We start from the raw sequence: 18,799 nt of genomic DNA, 5'->3' as shown, positions 1-18,799 counted from the left end.
TTAATTTTCTCATTCATAAAACAGGGTAAAAATACTTCCTTGCAGGGTTCTTGTTATGAGTAAATTTAATAATTTAAGGTATCTTACAAAATGCCTGACATACAGTAAACCCAACACGAATGCTAAGTCCTCTTGCTTTTAAAGAAGGACCTGGCCGGGCACAGTGGCTCATGCCTGTAATCCCAGCACTTCAGGAGGCCGAGACGGGCAGATTACGAGGTCAAGAGATCGAGACCATCTTGGCCAACATGGTGAAACCCCATCTCTACTAAAAATACAAAAATTAGCTGGGCGTGGTGGTGCGCACCTGTAGTCTCAGCTACTCGGGAGGCTGAGGCAGGAGAATTACTTGAACACGGGAGGTGGATGTTGCAGTGAGCCAAGATCGCGCCACTGTACCACTCCAGCCTGGTGACAAAGCGAGAGATTCTGCCTCCAAAAAAAAAAAAAAAAAAAAAAGGACCTAATGGCTGGGTGTGGTGGTTCATGTCTGTAATCATCTCAACGGAGGCAGGAGAATCACTTGAGCCTAGGACATCGAGACCAGCCTGGCCAACATAGTGAGACCCCAGAAACCCCATCTCGACAAAAAATATAAAAAAAATAAAAATGAAAAAAATTTAAAAGGACCTAATAACAAGTTAGATTTAGTAAACAAAAAATCTTTAAAAATCTGTATGGCAGGTGGGGGAGCTGTTAGAGGGGACAGGGCCTGGCAGGCACCTCCTGGCCCTGAACTGACCCTCCTGGCAAAAAAATTATTAACAACAACAAAATCTACATTTATTTTGGCCGGGCACAGTGGCTCACACCCGTAATTCCAGCACTTTGGGAGGCCAAGGCATGAGGATCACTGGAGCCTATGAGTTTGAGACCACCCTGGGCAACACAGCAAGACCCCATCTCTACTAAAAATGAAAATAAAATTTAAAAAATCTATATGTACTATCAAAGTAAGAGTCTTTGTCCTGCTCTAAAACTTTTTAATTAAAACAAGAAAAAAAAAAGAGTCTTTGATAAAACTGAACAGAAGGAACAATTTACCTGAAACGGGTCAGCAAACTATGGCCCACAGCCTAGCTGCCTGTCCTTGAAAATAAAATTTCATTGACCACAGCCATGCTGAGTCATTTATGTACGTGTCCTCCATGGTTGCTTTTGTGCTACCTAGGCAGTTGAGTAGTTGGGGCAGTGACCATATGGCTCACAAACCTAAAATATTTACTGTCTGGCAAGGAAAAGTTTGCTAATCCCCTGCTCTAAAATAGTCATAAATAGTCCAAATCAGTAACCTTGAACTACTAGAGCTAAACAGAAACTTCAGACCAAAGGTGGTATTTCACCACATGCTATTTATAGCAAATGTGCAACACAGCAGAGCACACAGTAACATCTAGTGCTGCGAACTGTCTGCCAACAAAGTTAACACTTTTTTATAATTAGAGGTGATACCTGGTGAACTCCTGGACCGCTTCTATCTTGGGGTGATACACCACAATTCTTTTCTTTAGCATCAGTGCTGTGTGTAAGATAACAGTTTCCATTCCAAACTGAGATACAATGTCTTCAAAAAAGAGAAATTGTAATGTTACTGCATTACACATCATGCAAAGAAATAAAGATTTTTTTTTCTTTTTTTCTTTTTTCTTTTTTTTTTGAGACCGAGTCTCACTCTGTCACCCAGGCTGGAATGCAGTGGCAAGATAGTTGCTCACCGCAACCTCTGCCTCCTGGGCTCAAGCGATTCTCCTGCTTCAGCTTCCCGAGTAGCTGGGATTACAGGCACACACCACCACACCTGGCTAATATTTGTATTTTTAGTAGAGACGGGGTTTCACCATGTTGGCCAGGCTAATCTCGAACTCCTGACCTCAAGTGATCCACCCACCTCAGCCTCCCAAAGTGTTGGGATTACAGGTGTGAGTCACAGCACCTGACGTACAAAATTATTTTTAATACAGAGAATTTAGGCAAATGTTGTAAAGCATACAAACACTTTATTTGGTGGAAGAGTAGATCTATCCTATGTCAGCTTCCCAGGACGTGTGCTCTGCCCCGCAAGGGACTCTATGATGGGATGCATAGAGGAAGCTAGACTCACAAAAAACTGAAACAACTGATGTGAAGGGAACCAGCATCTTTCTGTATCATTAAAACTTCCTGATTTAAAAAAAAAAAAAAAAATGTCTGCCAGGTGCAGGGTGACTCATGTCTGTAATACCAACACTTTGGGAGGCCAAGGTGGGAGGATCACTTGAGCCCAGGAGTTTGAGACCAGCCTGGGCAACACAGGGAGACTGTCTCTAAAAAATGTTTAAAAATTAGCTGGGGCTGGGCACAGTGTCTCACACTGTAATCCCAGCGCTTTGGGAGGCCTAAGCAGGCAGGTCATCTGAGGTCAGGAGTTTGACACCAGCCTGGCCACCATGGTGCAACCCCATCTCTACCAAAAATACAAAATTAGGCTGGGCACAGTGGTTCACACCTGTAATTCCAGCACTTTGGGAGGCCGAGGCGGGTGGATAACCTGAGGTCAGGAGTTCGAGACCAGCCTGGCCAAAATGGTGAAACCCCATCTCTACTAAAAATACAAAAATTAGCGGCCGGGCGCGGAAGCTCATGCCTGGAATCCTAGCACTTTGGGAGGCCGAGGCAGACGGATCACCTGAGGTCAGGAGTTCGAGACCAGCCTGACCAACATGGAGAAACCCCATCTGTACTAAAAATACACAATTAGGCAGGCGTGGTGGCACATGCCTGTAATCCCAGCTACTTGGGAGGCTGAGGCACTTGAACCCAGGAGGCGGAGGATGCGGTGAGCCAAGATCGCGCCACCCAGCCTAGGCAACACTTGTTGGAGCAAAACTCCATCTCAAAGAAAAAAAAAAAAAAAATTAGCTGGGTGTGGTGGCAGGTGCCTGTAGTCCCAGCTACTTGGGAGGCTGAGGCACGAGAATCACTTGAACCTGGGAGGCAAAGGTTGCAGTGAGCTGAGATTGTGCCACTGCACTCCAGCCTGGGTGACACAGTGAGACTCTTGACTCAAAAAAAAAAAAAAAAAAAAAAATTAGCTGGGCATGGTGGTGTGCACCTGTAGTCCCAGCTACTCGGGAGGCTGAGGTGGAAGGATTGCTTGAGCCCAGGAAGTTAAGGCTACAGTGAGCCGTAATTGTACCACTGCACTTCAGCCTCAGTAACAAAGCAAGACCCTGTCTCAAAAGGAAAAAAAAAAGTCTATTAACTCCCCCATGTCCCCCAGTATAATTACTTAAGTCCTTAAGTTAGCCTGACAAACACCTACCACCTCAACAGGGATGCTGAGAAAATTCAAAGAACAGCGGGATCAAAAGGAAAGACAGATGGGCACCATGGGAGGACATGACAGAGGGCAGCCTCGCCTTCAGAGTTCCCCTCGCCTCCTGCTCAGGGACCCTGAAGTCTGTGGCTTAGGCCTGAGCTGTCTGCATTTTGGATTTTCCAGCTGGAACTTAAATTAGGAGTTTGTGGTCAAGGCCTTGGGCTCTTCAGATGACAGAGATAACTGCTAAGATCTAAGAAAAGAAATGTAATCCATGAAGACCTCGAGGCACAAAATTCAGCCCACCAGCGAGAAAATATTTCTAAAATAGCCAATAGAATAATATGGAAACAAACACCACAAAAACCTGTTTTCCTCTGAGAGAATTCTAACTCAATAAGGAAATACGGGGGTTAAAGGCACCCTCTTGTGTACAAATGATATGAAAAATATGTAAATGAAAATAACGTATGGAAGGATTAGAATTATCTAATAACTAGATAATTCTAATTAGATAATCTAATTATGTAATTATTCTATTAGGCACAATAGGATCTAATGAGACTGTTTTTGGCTTGGGGATTTTGTTGTTGGAAGGGTTTTGTTTTTACCTTCTTTTTTTTGTTTTTTGTTTTTTTTTTGAGACGGAGTCTCGTCTGTTGCCCAGGCCGGAGTGCAGTGGCACAATCTCGGCTCACTGCAACCTCCGCCTTCCAGGTTCAACTGATTCTCCTGCCTCAGCCTCCCGAGTAGCTGGGATCACAGGCGGGTGCCACCACGCCCGGCTAATTTTTTGTATTTTTAGTGGAGACGAGGTTTCACCATGTTAACCAGGATGGTCTCGATCTCCTGACCTCGTGATCCACCCGCCTTGGCCTCCCAAAGTGTTGGGATTACAGGCGTGAGCCACCGTCCCTGGCCTGTTTTTTCCCTTCTTACCTTTGATGGAGCCAGCCAGGTAGGCCTTTCGGGCATCAAAATCCTTACTAAGGAAAGAGCCGTTTTCTTCACTCTGGCATATCCCCTTTGTGAGAACTGCAATATAACTCTCCATCATTTTAACTGGGCTCCCATGTTTCAGGTACATTCTGTAAGAAAGGACAACAAAGCAACTGTGATTTCATTTGGCACAAATCATGTACAGATGTGCACCCAGGCTGGTATGGGTGCCTTCTCAAGAATCCGAGGCCACCTTGCTACTGCCCTTCTGAATGCTTCACTCTTCTGTTTTTTTTGAGACAGAGTCTCACTCTGTCGCCCGGGCTGGAGTGCAACGGTGCAATCTTGGCTCACTGAAACCTCCACCTCCTGGGTTCAAGTGTTTTTCCTGCCTCAGCCTCCCGAGTACCTGGGATTACAGGTGTGCACCACCACACCCTGCTAAGTTTTGTAATTTTAGTAGAGTCGGGGTCTCACCATGTTGGCCAGGCTGGTCTCAAACTCCTGACCTCAGGTAATCCGCCCACCTCAGCCTCCTAAAGTGCTGGGATTACAGCTGCACTTACTGCACTTACTGCTGAGTTACTGCGCTTGGCCTGAATGCTTGAATCTTTTCATGTAGAAAGTAGTATTACTTTCAAGTAGCATCATTTCTCTCTAAATTAAAAATATATTTCAAAGAAAAAGCAGCCGGGCGCAGTGGCTCATGCCTGTAATCCTAGCACTTTGGGAGGGCAAAGCAGGCGAATCACCTGAGGTCAGAAGTTGGAGACCAGCCTGGCCAACATGGCAAAACCTCACCTCTACTAAAAATACCAAAAAAAAAAAAAAATTAGCCAGGTGTGGCAGTACATGCCTGTAATCCCAGCTACTCAGGAGGCTGAGGCAGGATTGTCGCTTGAACCAGGGAGGCAGAGGTTACAATGAGCCGAGATTGCACCACTGCATTCCAGCCTGGTCAACAGAGCAAGATTCTGTCTCAAAAAAAAAAAAAAAAAAAAAGAAAGAAAGAAAGAAAAGAAAAAGCTTGAGAGACCTTCAACAATTCTTTGGACTCAGCCATCTCCTTACATCTGGGAGCCCCTTGTTGTACTAAGGCAGGAGAATGAAGTACGAACTTCCTGAGGTCCCAGGATTCTCAAGAATGTTGTGCACTTATCCTGTGTCTTACATTCACAACTGGGGTTCTCAGTCATACAACTCTGTTTTATCACTGAGATTTCCTTTGACGAGAAAGGAGTTTTACGCACTGTTCACAGAGAAACCAGTAATTAGTTGTAGAACCCATACTTATTATTAAATGAGTTCCCAGAGGTAGCTATATTTAGATAATTAAGAAATCAAAACTCCTTTAGGTTTCTGGTGATAAATGCACATTAGACATTCATCGTCAAGTTAAAGCTTCTAGAAAATGCTGACAGGAAACTGGCTGCATTTATAGCTCACATGTGGAATCCGTCTCTTCCCCTTGAAATCTCTTCCTGTGAGCAACTAAAATTAAATTTTGCTTGAGAAACATGACTGGGTCTATTTGGGCCTTTCAGGAGCTGGTGGGATAGAAAATCGGGAAGAAAATAAAACATATTTAAGACAGATCACTTGAGGGCCGGGCACAGTGACTCATGCCTGTAATCACGGCACTTTGGGAGGCCAAGGTGGGCGGATCACTTGAGGCCAGGAGTTAGAGACCAGCCCGGGCAACACGGTGAAACGCTGTCTCTACTAAAAATATAAAAATTAGCTGGGCCTGGTGGCTCACACCTGTAATCCCAGCTACTTGGGAGGCTGAGGCAGAAGAATTGCTTGAACCCAGGAAGAGGAGGTTGCAGTGAGTCAAGATCACACCACTGCACTCCAGCCTGGGCAACAGAGCGAGATTCCGTCTCAAAAAAAAAAAAAAAAAGATCACTTGAAAATTATATTTATCATAGACTAAATGAAAAAAGCAAGTGTTTTAACTGCTTGCCAACTTTTGTCAATCATCAGTGTTTTTTTAAAAATTACCAATTCCAGCACTTTGGGAGGCCGAGGCGGGCGGATCACGAGGTCAGGAGATCGAGACCATCCCGGCTAAAACGGTGAAACCCCGTCTCTACTAAAAATACAAAAAAAATTAGCCGGGCGTAGTGGCGGGCGCCTGTCGTCCCAGCTACTTGGGAGGCTGAGGCAGGAGAATGGCGTGAACCCGGGAGGCGGAGCTTGCAGTGAGCCGAGATCCCGCCACTGCACTCCAGCCTGGGCGACAGAGCGAGACTCCGTCTCAAAAAAAAAAAAAAAAAAAAAAATTACCAATTCAATTCACAACTTGACGGAAAAAAAGTAGAGAACAATGAATGTGGTGAGCTTTCACACATGTAAAATACATTCAAACCCAGGAACTCACACACAGGCTCACACAGGGAGAAAAACTTCTCTGATAGGATATAAAGAAGGAGGTCACGGGAGTTGTGTGGGGTGGGGATCAGGAGGTAGAACTGGAGTCTGGGAACAGGAGGAGGCGGCAGCTCAGTTTTCACTGCATATTCTCCTGTGTTTCTAAATGTGCTTTATTACTACCAACAACAAAAAACCAAAATGCCATTAGCTTTCTAAAATAGAGGCCAAGCACTGTGGCTCATGCTTATAATCTCTACACTCTAGGAGGCCGAGGCAAGAGGCTCACTTTAGGCCAGGAGTTCCAGACAAGCCTGGTGAACATGGTGAAACCCCGTCTCTACTAAAAATATAAAAATTAGCCAGGTGTGGTGGTGTGCACCTGTAATTCCCACTACTTGGGAGGCTGCAGCACAAGAATCACTTAAACCCATGAGTTGGAGGTGGTAGTGAGCCGAGGTGGCGCCACTGCATTCCAGCCTGGGTGACAGAGTGAAACTCTATCTCAAAAAAAAAAAAATTATAAAATAGAAACAATACACAGTAATAGAGAAGAGAAACATAAGGTTGGTAGGATAAGATGACTTCCTACATGACAACCCTGGGCCAGGAGAGATAAAACAGAGGGGGAAATCCCCCCAAAACCACTCCACAGGAAAAGCCCACAGTGCGACCCCAAGCACCTTGTTCAGATAGACATCCATAGGCTGCCACACATCGAGGCCTGTACAGCTGACTGCAAGTGTGCATGAAACCCCGGTTCTCTAGCAGGGCCACTAGCAGCAAGCGACTAGAGGCTGAAGAGGACCACAGCAGTGAACCTGCAGCCACATAGGGAATGAGGTTCCCTCCTGCGGGCTTCTGCTGCCACTGTGAGCAGCAAGCTGTGTGTGGAAGGCACGCCTGCCTGCTCCTCACCAGAAATGGAGGGAGGCAACTCCATGTTAAACTGTCATGAAGAAAAGAAGTCTTTGCCTATGAGTGTGTGCATGTACACACAGACCTGTGTGTGTGTGTGTGTGTGTGTGTGCAAATACTTGGATGTGCATACATGCAAGAGTGAGCATAGTGCTGCATGAAGGGGCAGGAAGCAGAGGAGGCGGCTGGCAGTAGCTCCGAGTCCTCACTTCTCTTGCACTGTGACGGGAGAAGAAATCCAGGATACTACAATGCCACGCACTGCACAAGCTGAGAAACCCTCTGGGCCTCCTTCTGGGCAGGAAGTGGGGTCTGAAGCAACCTTGCCTTTTGGACTCCAGAATATTTCCCAGTGAATTCAGTTGAGCAACATAACCCTGACTCAACCAAATGAAATGGGAGTCCAATGTTTGTTCAAAAATACCTCTGTAGTGTTTTTAGTTTATGGCTTCTGGATAGCGTCTTTTCTGGCAATAATAATCTCCCTTTGTGTAAGTGCCACATTAGCAGACAACTGTTTATCCACAGTGAGACATTCACCTGGTTCTTATGAGAGTAGGAAGCTTTTTTATTCTGGCTGGTTGCAAAAATGGTGAAATCTCATTTAGCCAAGATATAATCTAACTGAAACCCTTAGGTAATGAGAAGATAGTCTTATGATAGAGTTTTTCTCTTTTTTTTTTTTTGCTTCTTTTGGTGTGTGTATATACATTCACGCACAAAAATAGCCAAAAGCCTACCATTTATTAGGCTTATAAAACAAAAACAATTCCCTTCACCCTCAGTGCCCCCAAAAATCTCTGTATTAGGGAAAAGCCTGACGGTAACATGACACCTAGAATTATAATTCTATCTAGTAACAACATTTTTTTTTTTAAAGGGCTAGGTGCAGTGGCTCACGTTTGTAATCTCAGCGCTTTGAAAAGCCAAGGCAGAGGATCACTTGACCCCAGGAGTTCAAGACCAGCCTGGGCAACATAGTAAGACCACCTTTCTACAAAATATATATATATTTTTTAATTAGCCAGGAGCAGTGGCACACACCTGTAGTCCTAACTACTTGGGAGGCTGAGGTGAGAGGACTGCTTCAGCCCAGGAGTTCAAGGTTACAGTGAGCTATGATCATGCCACTGCACTCCAAGCTAGGCAAAAGAGCAAGACCGTGTCGCTAAAAAAAAGACAACAACCAGAAAAAAAAAAAAAAAATCACGACTAAAACCCTGCAAGGCAGGGTGCGGTGGCTCACGCCTATAATCCCAGCACTTTGGGAGGCCAAGGCGGGCGGATCACTTGAGGTCAGGAGTTCAAGACCAGCCTGGCCAACATGACAAAACCCCCTCTCTACTAAAAATACAAAAAATTAGCTGGGCGTGGTGGCACCCACCTGTAATCTCAGTTACTCGGGAGGCTGAGGCAAGAGAATCGCTTGAACCCAGGAGGCAGAGGTTGCAGTGAGCCAAGATCGCCCCACTGCACTCCAGCTTGGGCAACAAAGGGAGACTCTGTCTCAAAAAAAAAAACATAATAAATAAAACTCTGCAAAAGCCTTCATCATTAAGAAAGAGCTAATATCTTTAACACATAAAAAAAGAGTTTCATCACGCCTATAATCCCAGCACTTTGGGAGGCCAACATGAGCAGATCACTTGAGCTCAGGAGTTTGAAACCAGCCTGGGCAACATGGTGAAACCCTGTCTCTACAAAAAATATAAAAAATTGGCTAGGCATGGAAGTGCGCACCTGCAGTCCTTGCTACATGGGAGGCTGAGGTGGGAGGATCACCTGAGTCCTGGGAGGTCAAGACTGCAGTGAGCCATGATGAAGCCGCTGCACTCCAGTCTGAGCAACAGAGTGAGACCCTGTCTCAAAAAAAAAAAAAAAAAGAAAAAGAAAAAGAAAAAGAAAAGAAAATAGACTGGTATATTTTAGATAAATTTTTCAACAATGGAGATGAAACTAAAAGAGTCTAGCTGAATCGTGACTAACCAGTTAATCAGAATTCCCTAGCTTCTCAGCATTCCAGCTAAGAAATGTGTTATTGTGCTTCGGCATAATTCTTTCCCCAAAATGACTGTACACACAGACCTTGACACATACGAACCAGTTTACCATGTCATAAGGCCCTTAACTTATCCAACCTACTAAGGGAATTCTAGACTGGAAGTGAACAGAAGTAACAGATCAAAAGTAGGAAGTGATTCAAAACACCCAGGAGCTACAATAGCTATAAAACTGCTCCTTCTCTTCCCCTAGATCATTTACCCAAATAAGAGAAGTATCAACAGAGCAAAAGAGAAAGGCCGTCTTTACAGTCTGTGAAGGGCTACTAAAGATTATGCTGGGGAGACACAAGGCTGAACTTTGCTTTCTCAGTGTAGAAATCTGCTATGTAACTATACTAAGGTCTTCATTTTGTATATTAGCATTTAATACAATTTTTATACAGACCTACACAATATCCTAGTGAAGGCAGCATACTTCTCTGGGTTAAAATCTTTGGCGGTCAGGACAATAGAAAAATGAGTCACCTGTTCAAAAGAAACAACAAAAAAATACACTTTTTAAATACACTTTAGCAGAATTTTTATTACTATATTCTAACAAACCTTTTGTATAAGACACAACAGTATTAAAAGAAAAAGACCAAAATTTAACAAGTCCTCACTTGCTTCTTTATACTTCTGCATGTGCATATGTATTACATATACATATATATTGAATTTCCTACATAAGAATGCAATATTTAGAGAAAAAATTTTCAGAAATCAAAAATACTTCACTCAAATATAAAAAAAGTACATTTCTACTTAATGTCCCCTAATCTCATCAAAGTACAAGAAAGAAGTGCTAAATCAGACTCACCAATTTAGCAACTGCTTATCTTTTCTCCTCCACACTTTTTTACTATTTTATTTTACCTATTTTTTTTTTTGAGTTGGGGTCTCACTATGTTGCCTAGGCTGGACTTGAACTCCTGGGCTCAAGAGATCCTCCAGCCTCAGCCTCTTAAGTAGCTGGGATTACAGGCACTACCACCAAACCCTTATTTTACTTATTTTTATTGATACATAATAGATGTATATATTTTTCCAGTTTTTTTTTTTTTTTTTTTTGGGACATTTGCTCTGTCGCCCAGGCTGGAGTGCAGTGGTGTAATCTCAGCTCACTGTAACCTCTGCCTCCCGGGTTCAAGCAATTCTCATGCCTCAGCCTCCCAAGCTCCCAAGTAGCTGGGATTATAGGCACACCACCATGCCCAGCTAATTTTTTGTATTTTCAGTAGAGACAGTGTTTCACTCTGTTGGCCAGGCTGGTCTCGAACTCCTGGCCTCAAATGATCCACCCACCTCAGCTCCCAAAGTGCTGGGATTACAGGCATCAGCCACCGCACCCAGACTATTTATCTTTTCTTTATGCTGAAAACATTCAAATTATTCTAACTATTTTGAAATTAATAGATTATTCTTAATCATAGTCACACTACAGCTCTGTCGAATAGCAATTGTTCTTCGTTATAAAAGGATGAAAAACAACAAAATACATCTCAGTAACAACCATACAGCTCCTGAACTAACTCTCTGCAGGGTGCCATAAGCTAAAAAGTACTATTATAAGAAGTTTTGGCTGGGCATGATGGCTCACATCTGTAATCCCAGCACTTTGGGAGGCCGAGGCAGGTGGATCACAAGGTCAGGAGTTCAAGACCAGCCTGGCCAAGATGGTGAAACCCTGTCTCAACTAAAACTACAAAAATTAGCCAGGAATGGTGGCAGGTGCCTATAATCCCAGCTACTCGGGAGGCTGAGGCAGGGAATTGCTTGAACCCAGGAGGCAGAGGTTGCAGTGAGCCGAGATTTTGTCCCTGCACTCCAGGCTGGGCGACAGAGTGAGACTTTGTCTCAAAAAAAGAAAAAAACCTTCATTTACTTATATGCCTCTATATTATAAATTTCTGATAAACATATACCTAATATTTCCACTAATGAGACAAAATTCAGAATTTCATAAATACAAAACTTTGAAGAGATACATTTAAAATGAAGAGTAGGTGGTGGTGCATGCCTGTAGTCCCAGCTACTTGGGAGGCTGAGGCACAAGAATCGCTTGATCCTGGGAGGCAGAGGTTGCAGTGAGCCGAGATCACACCACTGCACTCCAACCTGGGTGACAGAGCAAGACTCCATCTCAAAAAAAAAACAAAAACAAAAAGAACTTATTGAGCAATAAACCAAAGATTTCATTACATATTGAAACCTATCTTTTTGGCCAGGTGCGGTGGCTCGCGCCTGTTAATCCCAGAACTTTAGGAGAAAAGACAGGAGGATCGCTTGAACTCAGGAGTTCAAGACCAGCCTGGGCAACAGAGTGAGACCTCATCTCTACAAAAAATTTAAAAACTAGCTGGGCATGGTAGTGCACACATGTGCTCCCAGCTACTCAGGGAGCTGAGGAGGGAGGATCACTTGGGCCCAGGAGATTAAGGCTGCAGTAAGACATGATTGCACCATTGCACTCCAGCCTGGGTGACAAAATGAGACTCTGACTCAAAAAATAAAAATTAAAAATTGAAGTTAAAAAAAAAAAAAGAAAATTAGCTGGACGTGGTGGCGAATGCCTGTAATCCCAGCTACTCAGGACGCTGAGGCAGGAGAATCGCTTGAATCTGGGAGATGGAGGTTGCAGTGAGCCGAGATCATGCTACTGCAATCCAGCCCGGGCAACAAGAGCAAAACTCCCGTAAAAAAAAAAAAAAAGTATCTTCTTGCAAATTTATATTTTGTAACTATGAATCTGTTTTGTCTTAAACCTTCTACAGTTTCTAAATTGTTACCTTCCTGCTATTTTAAATGTAATTTTTAAAATTTAAGCTGGTATTCTAGTCATGCTTCACATAGTCGCACTATTGGCTATAAATTAGCCCTAAAACGGGAAAAAATCTCTGTTTGGGTACATGCCAGAGGCTCAGATAAAGTATTGTTCCAATATTCTATTCTTTGAAAAAACCTGCTGGTTGCTTGGGATTAGGAAAGTCCACGATTACATCCTAGTCTTCCACATGTCACACTGATACTGTTCATATCAAACAACACACCAAGAAAAGTCTACTTAATACACAAGCTGCCTTAAATATCCTTTCTAAATTCTTTTTTTTTTTTTTTTGAGACGGAGTTTCGCTCTTGTTGCCTAGGCTAGAGTGCAATGGCGCAATCACAGCTCACCACAACCTCTGCCTCCCGGGTTCAAGAGATTCTCCTGCCGCAGCCTCCCGAGTAGCTGGGATTACAGGCATGCGCCACCACGCCCGGCTAATTTTTTGTATTTTTAGTAGAGATGCGGTTTCTCCATGTTGGTCAGGCTGGTCTTGAACTCACAACCTCAGGTGATGCGCCTGCCTCAGCCTCCCAAAATGCTGGGATTACTGGCGTGAGCCAACACGCTCGGCCTGCCTTTCTAAATTCTTAATTTATCCTGGCCGGGTGCATCACCTGAGGTCAGGAATTCACGACCAGCCTGGCAAACATGGTAAAACCTGTCTCTACTAAAAATACAAAAAATTAGCCAGGCGTGATGGTGGGTGCCTGCAATCCCAGCTACTCGGGAGGCTGAAGCAGGTGAATCGCTTGAACCCGGGAGGCGGAGGTTGCAGTGAGCCGAGATTGCGCCATTGCACTCCAGCCTGACCAACAGAAAAACTCCATCTCAAAAAAACAAAAACAAAAAAAAAGGGGAAAAGACCACATATTGCTGTACTGCTCACCACTGTATCAACTACAGGGTCTGTCATATAATAGACAACAATAAATATTTATAGAATGAATGAGAGTGAAGTGTGAAACAGAGTATTCCCAATGAAAATAATATTTAATATTTTCTTTTCTTTTTTTTTTTTTTTTTGAGACGGAGTCTCGCTCTGTCGCCAGGCTGGAGTGCAGTGGCACAATCTTGGCTCACCGCAACCTCCGCCTCCCAGGTTCAAGCGATTCTCCTGCCTCAGCCTCCTGAGTAGCTGGGACTACAGGCGTGCGCCACCACGCCCAGCTAATTTTTGTGTTTTTAGTAGAGATGGGGTTTCACCTTGCTGGCCAGGATGGTCTGAATCTCTTGACCTTGTGATCTGCCGACCTCAGCCTCCCAAAGTGCTGGGATTACAGGCATGAGCCACCGCGCCCAGCCTATTTTGGGGTTTTTTTTTTACCTTCACGCAATCATACCTTTTTCAAAATGGAAGAATCTGGAACTTCAATTGTTGTGATATAAAACCATGTTCTTCTGTACTGACCAAAGACAAAGGGATGGAGAAGTTTGTTTTCATCTGTAAGGCAGCATTTTCTCAGCAGCAGGTTCCTTAATGTGGCTGTCGTGGAAGGATAACACCACACCCACAGAACTTCTCCATTTGTGTCCTTTTCTACGGTGGAAAGATGGTCACTGTGAGAATGTCAAACAGCAGCAAGGAAGTGAATTGATTGGTTACTCAGAAACACTTAGTGGAATCAGTTTTAACATCCCATCTTACAAAGCAACTCACAATACCTGACACCCCAAATTCCCACCTATCTCTACTGCTCAAATTATCTAGCTGTCATGATCCTGAATTACAGGCCACCTGAGTAAAAAGTTTTTATAACAAACCATGAATGAAAATTCAGCCTTAGAGATATGGTAGAGTTTTGGCCGGGCACGATGGCTCATGCTTGTAATCCCATCACTTTGGGAGGCCAAGGCGAGTGGATTACCTGAGGTCGGGACTTCGAGACCAGCCTGACCAACCTGGAGAAACCCCATCTCTACTAATAATACAAAAATTATCCGGGTGTGGTGGGGCATGCCTGTAATCCCAGCTACTCAGGAGGCTAAGGCAAGAGAATTGCTTGAACCCGGGAGGCAGAGGTTGCAGTCAGCCAAGATCACGCCACTGCACTCTAGCCTGGGCAACAGAGCAAAACTTGGTCTCAAAAAAAAAAAAAAAGACAAAGAAAGATGTTAGAGTTTCTCCCTATCTCCTCCCACACAAATGCTTATCAACTAAAATTACATTAAGTTTTTAACTAGTTGGAATAATTCTTTTTTTTTTTTTTGAGGCGGAGTCTCACCGTCACCCAGGCTAGAGTGTACTGGTGCTATCTTGGCTCCCAGGTTCAAACGATTCTTCTGCCTTGGCCTCCCAAGTAGCTGGGATTACAGGTGCCCACCACCATGCCCAGCTAATTTTTGTAGTTTTAGTAGAGACAGGGTTTCGCCATGTTAGCCAGGCTGGTCTTGAACTCCTGACCTCAGGTGATCTGCCCGCCTCGGCCTCCCAAAGTGCTGGGCGGAATAATTCTTTAAATGGAGTTTTGCTCTTATTGCCCAGGCTGGAGTGCAATGCAGTGATCTCAGCTCACCACAACCTCCATCTCCCAGATTCAAGCTATTCTCCTGCTTCAGCCTCCCGAGTGGCTGGGGTTACAGGCATGCACCACCACTCCTGGCTAATTTTGTATTTTTAGTAAAGATGGGGTTTTGGTTTCTCCACATTGGTCAGGCTGGTCTCGAACTCCCCACCTCAGATGATCTGCCTGCCTCGGCCCCCCAAAGTGCTGGGATTATAGGCGTGAGCCACCGTGCCCAGCCGAATAATTTTTAATAAATACATAGAAAAGGTTTGTCGAAAACAAAACCAGAGATGAAGAAAATAGTGAAATATTTCAAACCATGTTGCATACCAACTGTGTGAATTTTGTATTTAAAATTGTTTAGGCCAAGCATAATGGCTCATGCCTATAATCCTAACACTTTGGGAACCCAGGAGGATCGCCTGAGGCCAGAAGTTCCAGACCAACCTGGGCCACATAGTGAGACCGCATCTCTACAAAAAAAAAATTTTAATTAGCTGGACATGGTGGTGTGTGCCTATGGTCCCAGCTACTCAGGAAGCTAAGGTGGGAGGATCAAGTTAGCCCAAGATTCAGAGGTTGTCGTGAGCTATGCACCACTGCATTCCAGCCTAGTCAACAGAGAGAGACCCTGTCTCTAAAGACTACAAATAAAAAATTGTTATTGAAAACAGAATTACCATTCCACCCAGTAATCCCATTACTGGGTATCTGCCGAAAGGAAAAGAAATCATTATACTAAAAAAGACACTCACATTCTGTTTTTTTTTCTCTCTCTGAGACAGGGTCTAACTCTGTCACTTGGGCTGCAGTGCGGTGGCGCAATCTCAGCTCACTGCAACCTCCACCTCTGATCTCAGCTCACTGCAACTTCCACCTCCCGGGTTCAAGTGATTCTCCTGCCTCAGCCTCCTAAGTAGCTGAGATTACAGGTGTGCACCACCACGCCCAGTTAATTTTTTGCCTTTTTAGTGAAGACAGGGTCTCGCTATATTGGCCAGGCTGATCAACTCCCAGCCTCAATTGATCCACCTGCCTCAGCCTCCCAAAGTGCTAGGATTACAGGCATGAGCCACCACGCCTGGCCTCTTTTTTCAATTTCTTTTTTTGAGACGGGGTTGGGGGGGGTCTCACTCTGTCACCCATGCTGGAGTACAGTGGCATGATCTCAGTTCACTGCAACCTCTGCCTCCTGGGACCAAGCAATCCTCCCACCTACAGGCACACCACACCCGGCTAATTTTTGTATTTTTTGTAGAGACACGAGGGTTTTACCACATTGCCCAGGCTGGCTGCAAACCCCTTTTAAATGCACGTTAGTGTGAATAATTAAAAAACTGCTGAGTTCAAAATATGATCATATGTCATCTTTTTATTTGCTATTAGTAGATAAAGACAGTTTAACTTAGCCTTAGTTCAAAAGTACCTTCTGGAGAAACTAAGTTACTTAGGTTTTGTTTTGAAGCAGTTTGAAAATCACATTAGAAATAAATACAGTAATCCACCTGGACAACATGTCGGTATCCCATCTCCACAAAAAATACAAAAATTAATCGGGTGGTGGTGCACGCCTGAGGTCCCAGCTACTCGGAGGCCGAGGCGGGAGGATGGTTTGGGCCTGGGAGGTGGAGGCTGCAGAGAGCGATGATTGCGCTACTGCACTCCAGCCTGGATAAGAGGGAGACCCCGTCTAAAAAAAAAAAAAAGAAGAAAGACAAAGAAATAAAAACAGTAAGCGATTCCCACATAAACGCACTGCTTTGAGGCACTGAAAAATAATCAGCATATTTCTTCAGTTTTGCTAAAGCCTAAGCAATGTTATTGCGCACTTGGGGAATAGAAAGAGTTTAGGGGTGTGCAAAAATCTCGGGAAAATAAAACTTTTTCGAAGGGAACCAACGGGTTCCATCCCCTAAATACTGCACGAGGCTGCCCAAAGATCCCCGTGTGATATTTTTTAATTATGGAAGATAATTACATTCCTCAGAGCTAACCGAGATTCCACCACACAGGATTGTGTAGAAACTCCTGCTTTATTTATGCACAAGCTCGATCACATGATGCAGGAGCTCTCCACTGGTGGGGGTTGGGGGCTCTGGGATACACTGCGAGGGTCCCACTCCCGGCTCTGTACGGCCTATGGTGTGTCCGTGCACAATGACGGCCTGGGCCTCCATTTGCTCCTCCGTGAAGTGGGCGTCAGACGTTTCCCACGGCCCCTCGGTCCTTGGTGAGAGCTAAAAGGAGACAATGTGTGTACAACGCGCAGCACCCGGCCCAGCAGTCTCCAGCTGCCCGGTCCCACGATGGGGGCCGCCCGGGCGGGCAGTCACCCGTGGCTCCGAGGCAGCCGCCCGCCCCCGGCTCGGGGGAACCGGACCCTGCCTCCTCCCCGCCGCGCCGCGCCGCGCCGCCAGCCGGCTGCTCCCGCCCGGCCCGGCCCCGCCCGCGCAGCGCCCCTCGCAGCTGCCCAGCCTGGGAGCGCTCGACGTCCCGGCTCCGCCGGGCAACCCGGGGCGTGCAGGGGGAGCTCCACCCCGGAATCTTGGAGGTCCCCGGGCTCCCTCGGGCCGGGCAGGCCCCACAGGCGGCCGCGGGCGGGCGGGCGAGGGCGGCGGGCCGGGTCCCCTGCACCAAGGAGGCCGGGCTCCGCAGTCCCCAGTCCAGGCCCAACAGGGAGGGGGCCGCGCCCTCCTCATGCGGTCGGCGCCGGGGGCCGCGGGAGCCCGGGCTGCCCCGGGCCGAGGTGGAGCAGAGGCAGAACCAGGGTGCGGGCTTCCAGGCAGGGCGCCTACGTCCTCACCGATCAGCCCGACTCCAAGCATCAGCTGAGTGTCCGCCACCTCGGCCGCAGCCATCTTCCGCCGCCGCGGCGCGCAGCTCTGGCTGCCGCCTGCAGGACCGGCCTCGCACCCGAACCCCGCCCCGCCCGCCGTAGGGCCCGCCCCCATCACAGGCCCCGCCTCCCTCCCCGGCCCATCATAAGCCCCGCCTCCCTCCCCGGACCATCACAGGCCCCGCCTCCCGCTGTAGGACCCGCCTCCCTCCCGCCCCGCCCCATCACAGGACCATCAACCCCCCCCGTCGGCCCCGCCCCACCCGCAGGCCCACCTATTCCAGCCCCAGTCCTCCCTGCCAGGACCTGCTCAGTGCAGCTCCACTCGTCTTCTGCCCGTGGCCCTTCGCCCTTGGAAACCTCCTTGAGTCTCCGCAGCCTGCCTCAATTTCTCTAATCCAGCTGTTCATCCTTCTTCTTCTCAATCCACTCCAATCTTTCTTCCCGTCGTAGGCTTTCCTTGTTCTACCTCTGCCCTCTGGTCAAGCTCAAAAGAACAGGTCACCTTGTTCCTAAAAAGAGGCGTCCTGAGGATGGAGGAAGGGTCTCCATCCATTCCTTCATCCAGCCACCCCCAAAACAAAACAAAACAAAAATTGAGGGCCTAATAAGGCACTGGGGATACCTTATAGGGCTGAACAAGACAGAGCAGTCCACTGGGGAAGACAGACAATTGGCGAGTAGAATAAATAATCCAGGCCAGGTGAGGTGGCTCACGCCTCTGATCCCAACACGATGGGAGGCCAAGGCAGGAGCATCACTTGAGGTCAGGAGTTCGAGATCAGCCTTGGCAACATAGTGAGACCCATCTCTACAAAAAAAATTTAAAAATTAGCCAGGCATAGTGGCATGCACCTGTAGTCCCAGCTACTCTCAGGCTGAGGCAGGAAAATCATTTGAGCCCAGGATTTTGAGGCTGCAGTGAGCTGTGATCCTGCCACTCACTCCAGCCTGGGTGACAGAGTGAGACCCTGTCTCAAAAATAAATAAATAGATAAATAGATGACAGATAGATAGATAATAGTAAAAAAGCTCAGAATGATATGTGCCCTGGAGGCA

The 18,799-nt window shown here is 46.2% G+C and overlaps 1 protein-coding gene across 11 annotated transcripts in view, besides 3 other annotated features; it reads right to left on the bottom strand.

The window, feature by feature from the left end:
• The window catches only part of DENND10 (DENN domain containing 10), a 33,872-nt gene extending 16,080 nt beyond the window's left edge, over positions 1-17,792 (bottom strand). For 2 of the 11 annotated variants that reach the window (NM_207009.4, XM_017016264.3), the window contains exons 1-5: positions 17,708-17,792; positions 13,741-13,937; positions 9,977-10,056; positions 4,238-4,386; positions 1,453-1,564 (exon numbers count right to left, since the gene is read on the bottom strand). In NM_207009.4, the coding sequence (NP_996892.1) occupies positions 1,453-1,564; positions 4,238-4,386; positions 9,977-10,056; positions 13,741-13,937; positions 17,708-17,762 (593 nt within the window). In that variant the 5' untranslated portion in view covers positions 17,763-17,792. Of the gene's footprint in view, positions 1-1,452; positions 1,565-4,237; positions 4,387-9,976; positions 10,057-13,740; positions 13,958-16,409; positions 16,595-16,882; positions 17,141-17,707 lie in introns of those variants that run through there. The other 9 variants (NM_001303111.2, XM_047425249.1, XM_006717849.5 and 6 more) reach the window with 9 other exon arrangements.
• Positions 1,054-1,348: an enhancer, noted in NCBI's record as "tiled region #2644; HepG2 Activating DNase matched - State 5:Enh". NCBI's record gives its function as "activates a minimal TATA promoter and a strong SV40 promoter by Sharpr-MPRA in HepG2 cells {active_cell/tissue: HepG2}" and the evidence as "EXISTENCE:reporter gene assay evidence [ECO:0000049][PMID:27701403]".
• Positions 15,583-16,082: an enhancer, noted in NCBI's record as "H3K4me1 hESC enhancer chr10:120865335-120865834 (GRCh37/hg19 assembly coordinates)". NCBI's record gives its function as "activates a minimal SCP1, AML or CMV promoter by ChIP-STARR-seq in naive H9 embryonic stem cells {active_cell/tissue: H9 hESC(naive)}" and the evidence as "EXISTENCE:reporter gene assay evidence [ECO:0000049][PMID:30033119]".
• Positions 17,224-18,003: a silencer, noted in NCBI's record as "silent region_2868". NCBI's record gives its function as "represses an Ori minimal core promoter by ATAC-STARR-seq in GM12878 lymphoblastoid cells {active_cell/tissue: GM12878}" and the evidence as "EXISTENCE:reporter gene assay evidence [ECO:0000049][PMID:35858748]".

The sequence above is a fragment of the Homo sapiens genome, chromosome 10 (genome assembly GCF_000001405.40).
Source record: "Homo sapiens chromosome 10, GRCh38.p14 Primary Assembly".
NCBI lineage: Eukaryota > Metazoa > Chordata > Mammalia > Primates > Hominidae > Homo > Homo sapiens.
Note: the sequence above shows the minus strand (reverse complement) of the source record. Positions and strands in the feature narration are given on the sequence as shown.